General features: G+C 45.9%; 1 protein-coding gene across 26 annotated transcripts in view, besides 3 other annotated features; it reads right to left on the bottom strand.

The window, feature by feature from the left end:
* The window catches only part of PPARA (peroxisome proliferator activated receptor alpha), a 93,231-nt gene that overhangs the window by 35,193 nt on the left and 41,874 nt on the right, over positions 1-16,164 (bottom strand). For 12 of the 26 annotated variants that reach the window (XM_047441420.1, XM_047441421.1, XM_047441424.1 and 9 more), the window contains one exon: positions 9,973-10,219. In XM_047441420.1, the coding sequence (XP_047297376.1) occupies positions 9,973-10,180 (208 nt within the window). In that variant the 5' untranslated portion in view covers positions 10,181-10,219. Of the gene's footprint in view, positions 1-4,811; positions 4,990-9,972; positions 10,223-16,164 lie in introns of those variants that run through there. The other 14 variants (XM_047441423.1, XM_011530240.3, NM_005036.6 and 11 more) reach the window with 2 other exon arrangements.
* Positions 6,542-7,146: an enhancer, noted in NCBI's record as "NANOG-H3K27ac-H3K4me1 hESC enhancer chr22:46597315-46597919 (GRCh37/hg19 assembly coordinates)". NCBI's record gives its function as "activates a minimal SCP1, AML or CMV promoter by ChIP-STARR-seq in primed H9 embryonic stem cells {active_cell/tissue: H9 hESC(primed)}" and the evidence as "EXISTENCE:reporter gene assay evidence [ECO:0000049][PMID:30033119]".
* Positions 7,147-7,751: an enhancer, noted in NCBI's record as "NANOG-H3K27ac-H3K4me1 hESC enhancer chr22:46596710-46597314 (GRCh37/hg19 assembly coordinates)". NCBI's record gives its function as "activates a minimal SCP1, AML or CMV promoter by ChIP-STARR-seq in primed H9 embryonic stem cells {active_cell/tissue: H9 hESC(primed)}" and the evidence as "EXISTENCE:reporter gene assay evidence [ECO:0000049][PMID:30033119]".
* Positions 12,178-12,678: an enhancer, noted in NCBI's record as "H3K4me1 hESC enhancer chr22:46591783-46592283 (GRCh37/hg19 assembly coordinates)". NCBI's record gives its function as "activates a minimal SCP1, AML or CMV promoter by ChIP-STARR-seq in naive H9 embryonic stem cells {active_cell/tissue: H9 hESC(naive)}" and the evidence as "EXISTENCE:reporter gene assay evidence [ECO:0000049][PMID:30033119]".

Raw genomic sequence — 16,164 nt, 5'->3', positions numbered from 1 at the left:
TTTTTTTTTTTTTTTTGAGATGGAGTCTTGCTCTGTTGCCCAGGCTGGAGTGCAGTAGCATGATCTTGGCTCACTGCAGCCTCTGCCTCTTGGGTTCAAGTGATTCTCCTGCCTCAGCCTCCCAAGTAGCTAGGACTATAGGCGTGTACCACCGCGCCTGGCTGATTTTTGTGTTTTTAGTAGGGACGGGGTTTCACCATGTTGGCCAGGCTAGTCTTGAACTCCTGACCTCAAGTGATCCACTCGCCTCGGCCTCCCAAAGTGCTGGGATTGGGCCTGGCCTCAAGGAGCAGCCTTTACATGTTCTCACCACACACAAAAAATGGTAAGTGTGTGAGGTGGTGGATATGTTCACTAGCTTGATTTACACATTCCACAATGTAAACATAGACCAAAACATCACATTGTGCCCCATAAAAATACAATTATTATTTGTCAATTAAAAATTAAACTAAAATTAATAAATAAAGTTAAAGCAACCAGATAAAGAGGACATATAACATGTAGAGAAACAAAAATAAGGATGACACCAAGTTTCTTTTAGAAACGATGCAAGCCAGAAGACAGTGGGGACTGGCACAGTGGCTCACACTTGTAATCCCTGTAATCCCAACACTTCGGGAGGCAGAGGTAGGAGGATTGCTTGAGGCCAGGAGTTCGAGAGGAGCCTGGTCAACATAGCGAGTCTCCACCTCTACAAAAAATTTTTAAAATTGGCTGGGCATGGTAGTATATACCTCTAGTCCTAGTTCCTCAGGAGGCTGAGGCAGGACGATTGCTTGAGACCAGGTGTTTGAGACTGCAGTGAGCTACGATGGCACTAGCACACTCCAGCCTCGGCATCAGCGCAAGACCCTGTCTCTAAAAAAAAAAAAAAAAAAAAAAATAATAATAATAATAATAATAATAATAATAATAAATTAATTAATTAAAAACAAGAAGATAGTAGGAACATCTTAAAAGCATTTAAAGAAAAAAAGTGGCCAGGCTCGGTGGCTCATGCCTGTAATCCCAGCACTTTGGGAGGCCGAGGTGGGCGGATCATGAGGTCAGGAGATTGAGACCATCCTGGCTAACATGGTGAAACCCCATCTCTACTAAAAAATACAAAAAAATTAGCCGGGTGTGGTGGTGGGTGCCTGTAATCTCAGCTACTTGGGAGGCTGGGGCAGGAGAATGGTGTGAACCTGGGAGGCGGAGCGTGCAGTGAGCCAAGATGGCACCACCGCCCTCCAGCCTGGGTGATAGAGCGAGACTCTGTCTCAAAAAAAAAAAAAAAAAAAAAATTGCCAATGTAGAATCACATACTTTTTTCTTTTTCTTTTTCTTTTTTTTTGCAGGGGGATGGAGTCTTGCTCTGTCACCCAGGCTGGTGTGCAGTGGCGTGATCTTGGCTCACTGCAACCTCTGCCTCCTGGGTTCAAGCAATTCTCCTGTCTCAGCCTCCCAAGTAGCAGGGACTATAGGCATGAGCCACCATGCCCAGCTAATTTTTGTATTTTTAGTAAAGACAGGGTTTCACCTTATTGGTCAGGCTGGTCTTGAACTCCTGACCTCAGGTGATCCACCCGCCTCGGCCTCCCAAAGTGCTCGGATTACAGGCGTGAACCACTGTGCCCGGCCCTTTGAATCACATACTTTCTAGAATGAAGGTTATATGAAGACTTTTTCAGACATACAAAAGCTAGTAATTCGTTACCAGTAGAGCCATATTATAGATAATATCACAGGAAGTCTTTCAGGCAGAAGGAAAATGATAGCAGATGGAAATCTGGATTTATACAAAGGTATATAGCACTAGAAAAGGTAATTATGTGGGTAAATGTAAAAAATTTTTCTTACTACTATCTTAAAAAGATAACCGGCTGTCTATGTAAAACAATAACATATTGTAATATTTATAATGTAGGTAAATAAATAAAATTATGTGAAACATTACCACAAATGCATGAAGGGAAAAATGAAAGTATACTGTCATAAAGTTCTTATAATATCTGTAAGATAGAATGATACCACTGGAAGGTAGACTGGGAGACATTAGAGAGATACACTATAAACCCTAAAGCAACTACTAAAATAACACCAGAAGGTGTTATAAATAATAAGCCAACAAAGGAGATAAAGTGGAATCTTAAAAATGACTCAATTAGGCTGGGTGCGGTGGCTCACGCCTATAATCCCAGCATTTTGGGAGGCCAAGGCAGGCAGATCACAAGGTCACGAGTTTGAGACCAGCCTGACCAACATAGTGAAACCCGTCTCTAGTAAAAATACACACACACACACACACACAAATTAGCCGGGCGTGGTGGTGCATGCCTCTGATCCTAGCTACTCAGGAGGATGAGGCAGGAGAATTGCTTGAACCCAGGAGGCAGAGGTTGCAGTGAGCCGAGATAGCGCCATTGCACTCCAGCCTGGAGACAGAGAGAGACTCCGTCTCAAAAAACAAAATTAAATGAAACAAAACAAAAAAGACTCAATTAATTCAACAGAAGGCATAAAAAGAGGAAAAGGGAACAAAACAAAGATGTACCAAAGAGAACAAATTGTGAGATAATAGATTTAAATCAAACCATAGTATAAAGACACAAACCAGTTAAAAGAAAAAGAATGGGAAAAGATATACCATGTTAACACCAATCAAAAGAAAGCTGCAGTGGCTACATCAATAACAGACAAAGTAGTGTTCAGAACAAATAATTTTACCACGGATTACAACAGCAATTTCATAATAATAAAAGGTTCAGTTCATCAACAGAATATAACAAGCCTGAATGTTTATGCACCTAAATGTTTTAAACAGAGTTCAAAAATATAAGGCTGGTAATTAGCCGGGCCTGGTAGCACATGCCTGTAATCCCAGCTACTAAAGAGGCTGAGGCATGAGAATTACTTGAACCTCAGAGAAGGAGGTTGCAGTGAGCTAAGATTGCACCACTGCACTCCAGCCTGGGCAACAGAGTGAGACTCTGTCTCAAAAAAAAAAAAAAAAAAAAAAAAAAAAAATATATATATATATATATATATATATATATATATATGGCTGGGCATGGTGGCTCACGCCTGTAATCCCAACACTTTGGGAGGCTGAGATGGGCAGATCACTTGAGCCCAGGAGTTTGAGACCAACCTGGGCAACATGGCGAAACCCCGTCTCTACAAATAAATACAAAAAACTTACCCGGGCATGGTGGCAGGTACCTGTAGTCTCAGCTACTTGGGAGGCTGAAGTAGGAGGATTACCTGGGCCTGGGAGGTTGAGGCTGCAGTGAGCTGAGATCATGCCACTGAACTCCAGCCTGGGCTCAGGGTGAGACCCTCTCTCAAATAAATAAATAAATGAAGTATCCATAAAAAAAGGACATTGATAAATTGGACTTCATCAAAATTAAGAACTGGTCGGGCATGATGGCTCACACCTGTAATCCCAGCACTTTGGGAGGCCGAAGTGGGAGGGTCGCTTGAGTCCAGGAGTTCAAGACCACCCCTGGCAACATAACGAGTCTCTGTATCTAAAAAAAAAAAATTAGCCAAGCATGGTGGTACACACCTGTGGTCCCAGCTACTTGGGAGGCTGAGGTCGGAGGGTTTCCTGAGCCCAAGAGGTCAAGGCTGCAGTAAGCCATGATCGCACCACTGCACTCTAGCCTGGGCAATAGATTGAGACCCTATCTCAAAAACAAAACAAAACAAACAAAACAATCTTTTTTCTTTTTTTTTTTTAAGATACTATCAGTAGAAAGAAAAGAAAGACAAACCACACACTGGGGAAAATATTTGTAGATCACATGTCTGATAAAGTATTTGTATTCAAAATATATAAATAGTGTTCAATAGTGAATAGTAGAAAAGCAACTCAATTAAAAAATGAGCAAAGGCTTTGAACAGAAATATCACCAAAGAAGATATATGGCAAATAAGCATACGAAAAGATGCTCAAAATCACCAGGGAAGTGCAAATAAAAATCACCACAGTGAGAGACCATCACACACCTACTGACATGGTTAAAATTAAAAAGACTGATCATGCCTCATGTTGATGAGGGTATGGAGGAACTGGAACTCCCCCATATACTGCCAGTGGGAATATAACATAGTATAGCATTTTCTAAGATTTTTCTGAAATGCTGGAAAAGATTTTGGCAGTTTCTTAAAAAGTTACACAAACACCTGCCATCTGTTCCAGCCGTCATACTCCTAGGTATTTATTCAAAAGAAATGAAAGCAGAGGGTTGTACAGAGACTTGTACGTGAATGTTCATAGCAGCTTTATTTGTAATAGCCATAAGCTAGAAACAACCTAAATGCTCATCAACAGGTGCGTGAATCAGCAAACTGTGCTATGTCCACATGATGGATGAAGAATGAACTATTGATGCTTGCTGCAATGCAGATGAGTCTCACAGCCATTCTGCAGAGTGAAAGAAGCCAGCCTAGAAAGAGTACGTGCTGTATGATTCCATTTATATAAAATTCTAGGAAATATAAAGCAACCTAGAATGATAGAAAGTGGATTCATGGTTTACTGGGGGAGGGAGGCAGGGAGGCACGGGGCTGGGGAAAGAGGAATTAGAAACAGCACAAGTAAACTTTAGGGGTGACAGACAGAGGCACTACTGATAGATGCAGGAGGCAGAGAAGGGGGGCGTCCCCAGAGAATCTGCAACCTGCCCCACAAGTGTTTACCTCAGGTGCTTTTGTGTAGATGAGGGAACCTGCCCAGGGTTCCCTTGTCTGGACAGGCCCGCAAGGGACGGGGACCCACCTGGGCATTGGGAGAATGGGGTGGAGCCACGGGAAGTTCTCACCTTGCGCAGCGGGAGGAGCCTGGCCTCCAGCTCATGTGTGGTGGCCTGCTAATCAGTCTGTGAGCTGGGAACTCATTGGCAGGATCCCCTCTAGCTTTGCTGAGAGTTTTTTTCTTTTTTCCTTTTCGCCCAATACTGCTCTCCTCACCCTTCAACGTGTCCACGTGCCTAATTTTTCCTGGTCATGACACAAGAACCCAGATTTAGTCGAACTAAGGAGCAAAATTTCTACATCACTATTTTGAGTGTGATGATGGTTTCACAGATGCGTGTGTGTGTACACCCAACAGATTGTACACTTTAAATACATGCAGTTTATTGTATGTCAATTATGGCAATAAAGCCGGGAAGAAAAAGCAGAGATAAAATGGTACTTTGGCCGAGTGAACCAGCCTCACCCATCCGGTCTCCTGGGTGTAAAGTTTAAAGTACTGCATTTAATATCCGGCTCTTCTGAGAGACCAGTCTACATAACTAGGAATATTACCCAAAAGATCAGATTAGGTACAAATATGAACGATCTAATTTACAAATAAGAAATAATCTTAAATGACCTCATCTCTCAGACTTCGCAGTAACAGTTCAGTAAAACCTGGAAGGGAGGAAAGAGGTTTTAACAATTGTGAGATGAGTACAAATGACCACATGTATGAATAACAGTGAGGAAATGCTGAGGGGGAAATAAGAAATGGGTTATCACCCGCTTGCCACTTTAAAGGCTGGTGGTCAAAACCAGGGATGGGTGACCAGGACGCTTCAGTGTGGTCACTTTTTGTAAGTTCCCCTTTTTTTTCTTTGTGCCATAAAGTTCCTTGGAATTGGTTCAGAACAAATTTGGAACCCTTTTTCTCCTGCCCTGAACCCTCGCTATTTATTTATTTATTTATTTAAAGACAGAGTCTCACTCTGTTGCCCAGGCTGGAGTGCAGTGGTGTGATCTTGGCTCACTGCAACCTCCGCCTCCTGGATTCAAGCGACTGTCCTGCCTCAGCCTCCTGAGTAGCCGGGATTACAGGCCAAGATCGCACCACTGCACTCCAGCCTGGGCAGCAAGAGTGAAACTCTGTCTCAAAAAATAAATAAAAAATAAAATATTTTACATTAATTGGATCATAAGAAATATGTCCTTAAGCTTAAGAGGTGCACGCCTCCACGCCCAGCTAATTTTTTTTATTTTTAGTAGAGATGAGGTTCCACCATGTTGGCCAGGTTGGTCTCGAACTCCTGACCTCAGGTGATCCACCCGCCTCGACCTCCCAAAGTGCTGGGATTACACACGTGACCACCGTGCCCGGCCTGCTTTTAATTTATTTAGATGGGAAGCACAGTTCAGTCTGTGGAATTGGGTTAAATGTGGCTTTTAATGGATTATATAGACCACAAGGCTAGTATGCAGGAAATTCTCAAGCCTTACCTCTGTCAGAATTTCCAGATGAGTTAAAAATACATTTTAGATTATAGTTCTTGACAATGACCTAAAAGACACTACTTTTAGAAAAGGACCCTAGAAGAGCAGGGTTCCCTCCTGCATGAGGACCAGGGGTCAGGAGAGAGCACAGAATAAGGGGTCCTGTGTTTAAGCTGCCAGAGGAGGCAGGAGGGGGCTGGGCAGCCCTCCTGGCCACTGCCAGGAAAGAACTTTCCAGAGCTAGAGCCACACACCCACCCACTCCCGCAGCTCACACAAATTCCATATTTCAGAACAAGCTCTAGAGTATATCTTACCCAAAGAAAAAAGTGTATCTCTGAACTCTTTTACTAGACAATGAACTATATTTTTCACCCTGGGGGTGGGGCTGCGGGAGCCTGCCTGCCTTAAAAAAGAAAGGCAAAAAAGAAAAACAAAAGCAAGATAAATCTTTTCAAATCCATAAGGAAAAGATTTTTCTAATAAATAGCACAAATAGTCATTATAGGAAAACGGTGAACCAGCATGGGGTGTGTCTGTGATGGGTGAAGAAAGGTCCCACATTGTGGGGTTAAGAGCTGGGTTCTGGGCTGGTGATCTCCAGCACGTCAGGATGTCCTGGGACCTGCCTCCTTTCCTCCTTCCTTAAATAAACATAACAACGACCTCACAAGGCTGCTCTGGGCTTAGGCAAGCCGAGGTGTGAGGTGTGTGGGCAGCCTGCAGTGCTCAGGAAACAATGCGGTCATTGTCAAGGCCATTAACCCGGGTTCACTGCAAGACAACCTACCCAGGCCACTCAAGGCGCCACCTGACACGGAGCCTTTTCCTTGCTCTCCTCCAGCCTCCCTGTCCCCTTCCCCACTGCTCTGGGGGCCATGATCTCCCTACACCTTCACTCCTTCCACAGCGCTTATCCTCTGCTTAACGCGCCAGGAGAAAGGGAGTCAAAACTTGCACCACCTGTAAAGGTCTGTCAGGGTCACTCCCAAAGCTGCTCGGTCACAAAGGCCCCCCAGAGTCCTCAGGGGCTCACTTGCCTCTTGCAATTCCTGATTGACTAAGCTGAGAACACTGCCACCTTTTACAAGGCGCGATCATGCCAGCATGCAGAGAATAGCCCTCTAGAGCAAGCTGAGAGGCGGGGTCCAGGCCCGGCTCTGTGTCTTTCTGGCTGTATGAACCGTGGCAGGTTACTTACTTTTTTTTTTTTTTTTTTTGAGACGGAATCTTGCTCTGTTGCCCAGGCATTACAGGTGTGTACCACCATGCTTGGCTAATTTTTGTATTTTCAGTAGAGATGGGGTTTCACCATGTTGACCAGGCTGGTCTTTAACTCCTGACCTCAAGTGATCCGCCCGCCTCAGCCTCCCAAAGTGCTGGGATTACAGGCATGAGCCACCACGCCCCAACTTTTTTTTGAGATGGAGTCTCACCCTGTCGCCCAAGCTAGAGTACAGTGGCATGATCTCTGCTCACTGCAACCTCTGCCTCCTGGGTTCAAGCAATTCTCCCTGCCTCAGCCTCCTGAGTAGAGTAGCTGGGATTACAGGCACCTGCCACCACTCCCAGCTAATGTTTTGTATTCTTTAGTAGAGATGGGGTTTTGCCATGTTGGCCAGACTGGTCTTGAACTCCTGACCTCGGGTGATCCGCCTGCCTCAGCCTCCCAAAGTGTTGGGATTACAGGCGTGAGCCACTGCGCCCAGCCAAGTTACTTAATTTCTCTGAGCTTATTTCTGTATAGTCACACACTGCACAGTGACATTTTGGTCAACAATAGACCATAAGTTCAACTGTGGTATCATGGTCCCATAAGATGATAATACTGTATTTTTGCTGTAACCTTTTCTACTATATGTTTTGGTATGTTTAGACGCACAAATACTTACCATTGTGTCACAGGGGCCTACGCCGTTCAGTACAGTAACACGCTGTACAGGTGCGTGCCTTGGAGCAACAGGCTGCACCGCAGAGCCTCGGTGTGCAGCAGGCTCTACCATCTGGGTTTAAGTGTACTCTATGACTTTCACACAATGATGAAATCACCTAAGGATGCATTTCTCACAACCTGTCCCTGTCATTAAGCAACATGACTGTAATACCCATGTACACACCACCCAGGTTTATCACACTGCTGAAGTCTTTTAAAAATATACAACCTAGAGAGAATTACAGTCCCCATGGGACCCCTCCCCAGTTCTCCCTCCATCTTGCTCAGGAGGTGACTGAGTCCTTAAAGCTGAGATGCCCTTTGCAATAGGTGTATGTCTGTTTCCACCAGTGATGTACTAGATTGTTTAGTGTTAAAGATTTTAATTGGGCCGGGTGCAGTGGCTCATGCCTGTGATCCCTGCACTTTGGGAGGCTGAGGCAGGCGGACCACCTGACGTCAGGAGTTTGAGACCAGCCTGGCCAACACGGTGAAACCCCATCTCTACTAAAAATACAAAAATTAGCCCGGCATGGTGACGGGTGCCTGTAATCCTAGCTACTAGGGAGGCTGAGGCAGGAGAACTGCTTGAGCTCGGAAGATGGACGTTGTAGTGGGCTGAGATCATACCACTGCACTCCAGCCTGGGCAACAAGAGCAAAACTCTGTCTCAAAAAATAAAAAATAAAAGATTTTACATTAATTGGATCATAAAAATATTCATTAAGCTTGTTTATTTTCATTCAATGTTGCTTAAAAAAATTTTTTTTTAAAGACAGGGTCTCACTGTCACCCAGGCTGGAGTGCAGTGGCAGTCATAGCTCATGGCAGCCTCGAGCTCCTGGGCTCAAGTGGTCCTCCTCCCTCAGCATCCTGAGTAGCTAGGACCACATGCATGCACCACCATGCCTGGCTAATTTTTTTTAATTTTAAATTTTTTTTGTATAGATGGGGCCTCACCATGTTGGTCAGGCTGGTCTCAAGCTCCTGACCTCAAGTGATCCACTTGCCTCGGCCTTCCAAAGTGCTGGGATTATAGGCGTGAGCCACCGCGCCTAGCCTAGTCTGTTCTTTTAAATTGCTATGAAGTATATACCACTGTATAAATGCATCCCAATTTATCTGTTTCCCTTTGACGCATGTACAGCTTGTTTCCCATCCTTCCCTCTTACCAACAGTACCTCTATGCAGACCCTTGCACACGTCTCCTCTTAAAAATGTCTAGCTGCCCCCCGCGGGCTTGCTGGGGTTAGGGTCTGTGTACTTTAGCTGTTCCCCGTGACTGAATCTCAAGCACTGTTTGATGTGTGCATGGCTTTCACAAGAGGGGGCACCGTGAGCCGTGACACGCGCCTTCCAGGGCCCAGGGGCACTGGAGGTCATGCTTTACCACGTCTGAAGCTTTCTTTGCAAAAAAGTGTGACTTCTTTTCCAGCTAAAGAGAACAGTTTTCGGCCGGGCGCGGTGGCTCACGCCTATAATCCCAGCACTTTAGGAGGCCGAGGCGGGCAGATCATGAGGTCAGGAGATGGAGACCATCCTGGCTAACACAGTGAAACCCCGTCTCTATTAAAAATACAAAAATTAGCTGGGCGTGGTGGCGGGCACCTGTAGTCCCAGCTACTCGGGAGGCTGAGGCAGGAGAATGGTGTGAACCCAGGAGGTGGAGCCTGCAGTGAGCCGAGATCGAGCCATTGCACTCCAGCCTGGGCGACAGAGCGAGACTCCGTCTCAAAAAAAAAAAAAAAAAAAAGAGAGAACAGTTTTCTTGGAGGAAGAAACATTTCTAAATAAAACTTTCTAGGAAACGGCACACTTACCCGTGATGACCGAGCCATCTGAGCCAGGACAGCTTCCTAAATACTGGTATTCCGTAAAGCCAAAGCTTCCAGAACTATCCTCGCCGATGGATTGCGAAATCTCTTGGATGTTTCCCATTTCTTGCAGGAACTCTTCAGATAACGGGCTCTCTAGATCGCCGGCCTCGAGTGGGGAGAGGGGGCAGAGTGGGCTTTCCGTGTCCACCATCGCGACCAGATGGTGCTGGTTGTGCCGCCGAGCTCCAAGCTACTGGGAGGAAAGAGGAACAATTGGTAAGACTGACGTATAACAACGTTCACTTGTTTGTTTTTATTTTTTATTATTTATTTATTTATTCTTTTTTTTTTTTTTTTGAGACAGAGTCTCAGTCTGTTGCCCAGGCTGGAGTGCAGGGGCACAATCTCGGCTCACTGCAAGCTCCGCCTCCCGGGTTCACACCATTCTCCTGCCTCAGTCTCCTGAGTAGCTGGGACTACAGGCGCCTGCCACCACGCCTGGCTAATTTTTTGTATTTTTTTTTTTTTAGTAGAGACGGGTTTCACTGTGTTAGCCAGGGTGGTCTCGATCTCCTGAGCTCGTATTCCGCTCGCCTCAGCCTCGCAAAGTGCTGCGATTACAGGAGTGAGCCACTGCGTCCGGCTGTTTGTTTTAATTTTAAATTTTAATTTTTAATTTTTTTTATTTTTGAGATAGAGTCTTGCTCTTGTCGCCCAGGCTGGAGTACAGTGGTGCGATCTCAGCTCACTGCAACCTCCACCTCCCGGGTTCAAGCAATTCTCCTGCCTCAGCCTTCTGAGTGGTTGGGATTACAGGTGCCCGCCACCACGCCCAGCTAGTTTTTTTGTATTATTAGTAGAGACGGGTTTTTACCATGCTGGCCAGGCTGGTCTCAAACTCCTGACTTCAGGTGATCCGCCCGCCTCGGCCTTCTAAAGTGCTTTGATCACAGGTGTGAGCCACTGCGCCTGGCCACTTGCTTGGTTTTAAATGCAACGTCATTTACCATCCAAGATACACCTGAATTCATCATCTACACAGGAGCACCACTGAGCCTCTCCTCCAGGCTTGTCTCTTGATCAGCACGCTGAGAAAGTGAAGAACCTTTAAACAACAAACTGTTGAAGGAGCCATAGCCCACGGGGCCAGGAATCTCTCAGTCATCACTGACTGCGCAGCTGTCGCAGCTCCGTACAATATGTTTGAGGTGCTGGGGACACAGCGGAGACAAAAACAGATCCCTGGGCCGGGCACAGTGGCTCACACCTGTAATCCCAGCACTTTGGGAGGCCGAGGCGGGCGGATCACTTGAGGTCAGGAGTTTGAGACCAGACTGGCCAACATGGCAAAACCCCATCTCTACTAAAAATACAAAAATTAGCTGGGTGTGGTGGCATGTGCCTGTAATCCCAGCTACTCAGGAGGCTGAGGCAGGAGAATCACTTGAACCTGGGAGGTGGAGGTTGCAGTGAGCCGAGATGGTGCCACCACACTCTAGCCGGGGCGACAGAGTGAGACCGTGTCTCAAAAAAAAACCAAAACCAAACCAAAACCAAAACCAAACAAAAAACAGGGTCGGGTGCAGTGGCTCATGCCTGTAATCCCAGCACTTTGGGAGGCCCAGGTGGGCAGATCACGAGGTCAGGAGTTGGAGGGCAGCTTGACCAACATGATGAAACTCTGTCTCTACTAAAAATACAAAAATTAGCTGGGCATGGTGGCAGGCACCTGTAATCCCAGCTACTCAGGAGGTTGAGGCAGGAGAACCGCTTGAACATGGGAGGCGGAGGTTGCGGTGAGCTGAGGTCGCACCACTGCACACCAGCCTGGGCGACAAAGCAAGACTCCACCTCAAAACAGCAACAACAACAACTAACAAAAATCAGATCCCTGCTCTCAGGGAGCCTCCCTTGTAACTGGGACACAGATGGTGAACAACGAAATGAATGCACGTGTGGAGTGTCCGGGGTGAGGCCAGGGAAGGCCTCACTGATTAGGGGGCAGGAGATAACCTCAGGGAATGAGGGGGCAAGCTGTGTAAATGTCTTGGGGGAGAATGTTCCAGCGAAGAGAACACCAAGTGCAAAGGCTCCAGGACTGAAACATGTTGGCACATTCCAGGAACAGGCAGCCAGTGTGGCTCAGGCTGCGGGGCGCAGGGCCAAGCCGGTGGCATGTGTGCTGGGTGTGACATCCACTTTGGTGTGCTCTCCCTGTAGCCATGAAGGCAGCTCATGTAGGGGGTCCTCGACCATGATTGTATGGTCAAGAATACTTTGTGGAGTCCAAACAAATCTAACTGGGTGAGTCCCAGACAATGGTAGGCTATTTCAACTAGCAAAGCGAACGGCATTTCCATAGGGGTATAAGTGACAAAGCAGCGGTTCTTCCTGGGTTAGTCTGTATCATGCTCTCGCTGAAACATCCTAAACCACTTCCTGAGACCTCCAGATTGAAGCCCAGTCTCCTGAACACACTGTTCCCAGCCCTTCCACATTTGTCCCTACCCGACTGTGCACTTGTCACTGTTCTTCTACCTCCTGGAAACGCAGCAGCGCTGAGAATTGCTTTCAGGATTCCACGTCTGCACCTTTGCCCAGGTGCCACCTGCCTGAACCGCCCTGCCCACCGCTGCCTTCTAGAGGCTCTGCCTCGGGTCCACCTCCCTGAACCCAGCTGAGTCATCAATCACCCAACGAGGCTGACTAGGTGACCTTTAGCTTCCAGAACTGTCTTCCTTTCTGAAAATGGTCACATGGTGCCCACGGCGCACACCACGGAGAGGCTCGGGGGTATGTGCTGCTACCAGCCACTGTCAGGGCAGCCGTCATCACATGGTGATTACGGAACGCCAGACTCTCCAGATAGAGTAAAGAATACCGTCCCAAAGCAAATATTCACCCATTAAATGCATTTGCGTAAAAATATGTTCACATTTGAGGTTTGCTTCATGTAAACAACAGCTTTTAGTGCGGTGAGGAAGGGATGTTTTGGCTTCTTCTACCAATGAAAAATAGATACATTTCATCCATTTTTGTGAAATTCACATATTATGTTTGGAATTCTGGCAATAAATCATCAAAGTTCACAGGGAAATCATCAAATAGCACACAGGGAAAAATAAGAGAACTGTTAACCTTTCATAGGGTTTAGAAGACTTTCTTTCTCTGTAACCTACTAGCATAAGTCAGGCTGGGACTCTGTACAGATTTTCTGTAGTATTTTATTCTGCATTCTGTCTGAAGGGAGATTTTTTTTCAAATGACAAGAAACATAATGGGGTAAGCATTACTTAAAATATTTTTCACTATGAACAAAAAGTTCAAAAGTTGCAGTCACTAACTAACTGTATTAACCATGAGGTTCATCCCAATAGAAAGCAAGTAGCTGGGGCCGGGCATGGTGGCTCACACCTGTAATCCCAGCACTTTGGGAGGCTGAGGCGGGCAGATCACTTAAGGTCAGGAGTTCGAAACCAGCCTGGCCAACAGGGTGAAACCCCGTCTCTACTAAAAATACAAAAATTAGCCGGGCGTGGTGGTAGGCGCCTGTAATCCCAGCTACTCAGGAGACTGAGGCAAGAGAATCGCTTGAACCCAGGAGGTGGAGGTTGCAGTGAGCTGAGATCATGCAATTGCACTCCAGCCTGGGGGACAAGAGCAAGACTTTGTCTCAAAAAAAGAAAAAAAAAAAAAAAAAAGAAAGAAAACAGGTAGCTGGGGCCAGGCGTGGTGGCTCGCACCTGTAATCCCAGCACTTTGGGAGGCTGAGGTGGGCTGATCACTTAAGGTCAGGAGTTCAAAACCAGCCTGGCCAACATGGTGAAACCCCGTCTCTACTAAAAATACAAACAAATTAGCTGGGCTTGGTGGCAGGTGCCTGTAATCCCAGCTACTCGGGAGGCTGAGGCAGGAGAATCGCTTGAACCTGGGAGGTAGAAGTTGCAATGAGCTGAGATTGCACCACTGCCCTCCAGTCTGGGTGACAAAGCGAGACTCTGTCACAAAAAAAAAAAAAAAAAAAAAGGAAAAAGCAAGTAGATGGGCAGAGACTGTGTGATGGATGGGCTGTGGCCACCTCCCTTTTTCGCCCATCGTGTTCTCAGCACTGGGGTGGAAAATGCATGTGGCCTATGCCTTTTATCCCTGCTAATATTCTCTCTTCTGGCCAGGAGCATCGACCAATAAAACAATGTTAGTTTGCTTGTCGTTATATTCAGGGAGTTTCAAAGTTTTACAATTTCATCATTTTTAGTTGCTTTTAAACAATACCAGGATTAATTTACAGAAACATTGGTCTTGCTATGAATGAAGAGCTAACCAAGATACAATCTCTATATAGAGTGAGGCAATACTGTCTTGAACTCTGGCCAGAGGGACTGGCTGTATACGGATCATTGAACAAATTGGCCCTTCCTTGCTCCCAACAAGAGCAGATAAGGAACAGTTGCCTTTGGATGCATCCCCCAGATAGACAGCAGAGGCCAAACGGGCACCTGCCCCACCCTGCACGCCCTCCCAGCATGCTCTGGTGCTGGGGCTCCCCCCACATCACTGGCGCTTCTGATCAGGAGCAGAATATCCCGGGGAAGTCCCCACCCCTTCCTATTACCCACATGACATGCCGCTGTCCAGCTAATCGAGAAGAGTGAACCAGGCTGGCCAGTTCCCGTGTCCTATGCCCCAAATGCTCTGGGGGGGATCAAGGCATAACCAACCATCCCTTTTCTCAACAACTGCAACCTCTGGTCCAGGAGGCAAGACAATGCAAACAGCACTGAATTAGATCTTCAGTTTCATAGCACAGACAGAGTCTCACAAAAGCTGAGAGGTGAGGGACAGGTGGATAGGGTGTTGGGAAAAGGTAGGGCTTCTGTTCCAGTCCCAGCAATGATGGGAGGTTCTGCATGATCCTCTCATTCCTTCCTTACCTGAGACCTTTTACATTTCTAAATTCATAATTTTCTTTCCCTTACAATTTATTTTTTTATTTTAAAAATTATTTAAAATATTTGTGGTATATACTCAGTGTATATATTTATGGGGTACATGAGATGCTTTGACATAGGCATGTAATGTGAACTAAACACGTCATGGGGAATGGGGTAGCTGTGCCCTCAAGCATTGATCCTTTCAGTTACAACAATCCAATTATACTCTTTAAGTTATTTAAAAATATACCATTAAGTTATTATTGACTATAGTCGCCCTATTATGCTATCAAACAGTGGCCAGGTGCGGTGGCTCACGCCTGTAATCTGAGCATTTGGGAGGCCAAGGCGAGTGGATCACTTGAGGTCAGGAGTTTGAGACCAGCCTGTTCAACCTGGTGAAACCCGGTCCCTACTAAAAATACAAACATTAGCCAGGTGTGGTGGCGCGTGCCCATAATCCCAGCTATTTGGGAGGCTGAGGCAGGAGGATCGCTTGAACCCAGGAGGTGGAGGTTGCAGTGAGCCGAGATCATGCCACTGCACTCCAGCCTGGGTGACAGAGTGAGACTCTGTCTCAAAACAACAACAACAACAAAACAACAAAAAACCTAGTGGGTCTTATTCATTCTTTCTAGTTTTTTGTACCTGTTAACCATCTTCACTGCCCCCAACCCCTCACCACCCTTCCCAGCCTCTGGTAACCATCCTTCTAATCTCTCTGAGTTCAAGTGATTTGATTTTTAGAGCCCACAAATAAGTGAGAACATGTGAAGTTTGTCTTTCTGTGCCTGGATTATTTCACTTAACATAATGATCTCCAGTTCCACCCATGTTGTTGTAAATGACAGGATCTCATTCTTTTTTATGGCTGAATAGTACTCCATTGTGTATATATATCACATTTCCTTTATCTATTTGTCTGGTGATGGACACTTAGGTTGCTTCCAAATCTTAGCTATTGTAAACAGTGTTGCAACAAACAAGAGTGCAGGTATCTTTTTGACATTTCCCTTCCAATTTAAATGTTAGAGCTGCATCTTGTATATCATAAGCTCAAACTACTGAGATTCAGTTTTTAGGTCTTACTAACTAAACATTTATCAATCAAAATATTCCTTTGAGAACGATGAAACAGAGTATATGAAAATTGTAGAACACTTAAAAACAGACAAATACAAGAGGAAGTAGACATCAAATTATATCACTGTTTTATGTTACCCGAGCACAGGGCAGGTGCAAACACTGGAAGGATTCCAACGGT

This window comes from Homo sapiens, chromosome 22, assembly GCF_000001405.40.
Source record: "Homo sapiens chromosome 22, GRCh38.p14 Primary Assembly".
Taxonomy (NCBI): domain Eukaryota; kingdom Metazoa; phylum Chordata; class Mammalia; order Primates; family Hominidae; genus Homo; species Homo sapiens.
This window is presented reverse-complemented; position numbering and strand designations above follow the sequence as displayed.